Genomic DNA, 3156 nt, shown 5'->3' with positions numbered 1-3156 from the left:
TGTACTGTGTTTTGTGTTGCCCGATATTAAAACCAAACTTTTGTCATAGTTGGAGAATGGCCTGTGGGTATTGGAGAAGCCACCTTAGAGGTGGAATTGCGTGCGTGGCGTGCTTTGTTCAGAATAAGGAGGAAAAACCCATTGGTTGGGAGGCGGGTACAGTAGGAACCTTCCCCTCTGATTTCTGGTTAGGGACTCTGGGGTCTTGAGAACCCCTGACCCAGGGCCCTCTGCAGGAGCAGGGTGGGAGGGGCAGAGACACGTCCTGGGGGAAGTCACTGTGTGGTCGCCACTGCGGCTGCTTCCAGATGCAGGAACTGATGTGGGGACACATGGGTAGCCAAGGAGTGAGCAGCCTTTCCGGTTCACTTATGTTTGCAGCTGCGTCCTGTGAGGACACCAGGCTGTCTCTACTGACCTCACTGTGGGTCAGGGTGGCCCAGGAATTGCCAGCCGAGCACCTAGGGCAGCCAAGACAGCAGCCTGGGGTTCCCCACAGCACTGGGCCCTCAGGTGAGCACCCCAGCAACCGGACAGTGAGTGCTTGCTGCCTTTTCCCCATTCTGCTTCTTGACCCACAGGATGGTTCTTGGGGAAACAGTACACGTAATCCTATTGAAAGATATGACAGTGGGCTCTAGTTTCCTGCGCTACGAGTGTCTTCAGATTCTTTCCAGCCTGGTACTTTCACTGGCATTCTTTTGCATACACAGCCAGGCGCTGCTTTAACCAACAACAGAGATCCAGTGAGCATCTACTGAGGGGCTGTTATGGGCCCTGACTGTGCCAGGCCCTGTGACTCACAGGTACTTGGGACTCTTTGGCTCTGTACTGTTAACTTAGAGAAGAGTTTATTTCTTCTAAAAAGTTACAGCCTGACGAGAATCGCTTGAACCTGGATAGCAGAGATTGCAGTGAGCCGAGATCGCGTCACTACACTCCAGCCTGGGCGACAGAGTGAGACTGTCTCAAAATAAAAATAGTTAACAGCCTGCAAGATGGCCATCCCTCAGACTGGAAAGCACAGCCTCTGGCCAAGACCAGAGATGGGCACTTCAGAGGAGGAGGAGGAGGGGTTGGGGCAGGAGGTTTATGCTGAATGGGTTGGCTAAACATGCATATTCAGCAGGTGACAGGAGGAGCTATGAATATTCATGAAGGCAGTCCTGACGCATGCATCCTGAACAAACATACAATCCACATTCACTTTGGGGTGGAGACTTAACATTTAAAATGTATTATAATGAGGTTCTACACAGGCCAGAAGTGGTCCATCACTGTGGTCTCTTATCTGGACCAAGTTACTGAAATCAGTCTCTTGTCCAATGAAACTGTAGTTATGGCTGGTGGAATAGGGGCTGGGGGATCAGTCAGCATCCGGTGGAACTGCAAATTGGTTTTTATTGTTTTGAGACAGGGTCTTACTCTGTCGCCCAGGCTGGAGTGCAGTGGCGCCATCTGGGCTCACTGTAGCCTTGACCTCCCAGGTTCAAGGAATCCTCCCACTTCAGCTTCCGAGTAGCTGGGATCACAGGCACACACCACCATGGCCGGCTAATTTTTTTGATTTTTAGTAAAGATGAAGTCTTGCTATGTTGCCCAGGCTGGTCTCGAATTCCTGAGCTCAAGCGATCCTCCCACCTCAGCCTCCCAAAATGCTGGGATTACAGGTGTGAGCCACAGTGCCTAGCCTTTTTGTTTAAGTTTTTTGTAAAGATAGGGTCTCGCTGTTACCCAGGCTGGTCTTAAACTCTGGACCTGAAGCAATCCTTTTGGAGGCTTCAGCCTCCCAAAGTGTTGGGATCACAGGCATGAGCCATCATCTCGGCCACTGCACTGTTCCAATATTGCTTAGCTCAAGGCCAGTGCTTATTGAGCTACTAAGAGGAAAAGAAAAGCAGTGTGGCAGTAGGAATATAGTTTAAATGTAGGGTGTGTGACTTAACCCTTGCCTGGCATGACCTTAGGTCCTATTCATAATTTGGTATCTTATTGCCACTGGTGTCCCCTTGACCGCAAGGGGGTCCATTCAGTTGTTGGGGGCTTAGGATTTTAATTTTTTTTGAGACAGAGTTCTGCTCTTGTTGCCCAGGTTGGAGTACAGTGGTGCAATCTTAGCCCACTGCCTCCCGGGTTCAAACAATTCTCCTGCCTCAGCCACCCGAGTAGCTGGGATTACAAGCATGCGTCACCATGCCAGGCTAATTTTGTATTTTTAGTAGAGACAGGGTTTCTCCATGTTGGTCAGGCTAGTCTCGAACTCCCAACCTCAGATGATCCTCCCGCCTCGGCCTCCCAAAGTGTTGGAATTACAGGCATGAGCCACCGCGCCCTGCCAGGATTTTATTTTTAGTTTACAGTGTTGAGGGTTATGGGATGCCCAGGGCCTGGGGAGGAAGGGGACAGGATGTGTCCGTCCTAGTCTGAGGATGACTTTTTTGAGTTCAAAAGGGGGCGGTGGACGCACCAAGGCACAGTCCTGAGGGCAGCAGGTGCAAAAGTCCGGCCCTCCCAGAGGTGTAAGGCCTTAGAGGGATCCCAAGCATCCCTGGGGCTCAGCCTCCTGGACCTGACCCCACTGCCCACTCTTTTGGCTGGTTCCACTCTCCCCTGCATCCCTCACGTTGTCCCCAACAGGAAGCTGTGGGAACCTGTTCTCAGGTGTAGTGCACCCGTTGGGGTTCTAGTTGGCTGGATCCGCGGGGCCGTCAGCTGCAACTGTGACGGCGGGGAAGCGGGACGGGATGGTGCGGATCTACAGGACCTCGCCTCCAGGTGGAACCTACCTGCTGAGCCAGGGATTCTTCAGGATACAAACCCAGTCAACTCCAGGCAGAGGGTGGGAGCGTCATGCACCGGCGACACAGTGGAGGACGTCATGGACGGGCAGGGAGGCAGCGGCAACCGAAACTAGCGGCTCAGTCGGTGGCCGGTGTGCGGTCAACGGCCAGGGCAGTGGGACCGGAAAGACTCAGTGTAGTTGTCAACTGTTGCGACCTAAAAGGTTACTCCAAAACTTTAAGCGGCTCAAAACAATAGACGGCGCGTACGGGGCCTGCAGCGGCCACGGGACCGTGGGAAGCAGTCAGTACCCGCCACAGGCCGCGCCTTCCGGGTTCCGGGTTCCGGGTTCCCGCCAGGGAGGAGACACGCCCC

The 3156-nt window shown here is 53.3% G+C and overlaps 4 annotated features.

Annotated features, from left to right (window-relative positions):
• Positions 108-207: an enhancer, noted in NCBI's record as "active region_21158". NCBI's record gives its function as "activates an Ori minimal core promoter by ATAC-STARR-seq in GM12878 lymphoblastoid cells {active_cell/tissue: GM12878}" and the evidence as "EXISTENCE:reporter gene assay evidence [ECO:0000049][PMID:35858748]".
• Positions 518-587: an enhancer, noted in NCBI's record as "active region_21157". NCBI's record gives its function as "activates an Ori minimal core promoter by ATAC-STARR-seq in GM12878 lymphoblastoid cells {active_cell/tissue: GM12878}" and the evidence as "EXISTENCE:reporter gene assay evidence [ECO:0000049][PMID:35858748]".
• Positions 708-817: an enhancer, noted in NCBI's record as "active region_21156". NCBI's record gives its function as "activates an Ori minimal core promoter by ATAC-STARR-seq in GM12878 lymphoblastoid cells {active_cell/tissue: GM12878}" and the evidence as "EXISTENCE:reporter gene assay evidence [ECO:0000049][PMID:35858748]".
• Positions 2797-3086: an enhancer, noted in NCBI's record as "active region_21155". NCBI's record gives its function as "activates an Ori minimal core promoter by ATAC-STARR-seq in GM12878 lymphoblastoid cells {active_cell/tissue: GM12878}" and the evidence as "EXISTENCE:reporter gene assay evidence [ECO:0000049][PMID:35858748]".

Source organism: Homo sapiens, chromosome 4, assembly GCF_000001405.40.
Source record: "Homo sapiens chromosome 4, GRCh38.p14 Primary Assembly".
NCBI classification, from domain to species: domain Eukaryota; kingdom Metazoa; phylum Chordata; class Mammalia; order Primates; family Hominidae; genus Homo; species Homo sapiens.
Note: the sequence above shows the minus strand (reverse complement) of the source record. Positions and strands in the feature narration are given on the sequence as shown.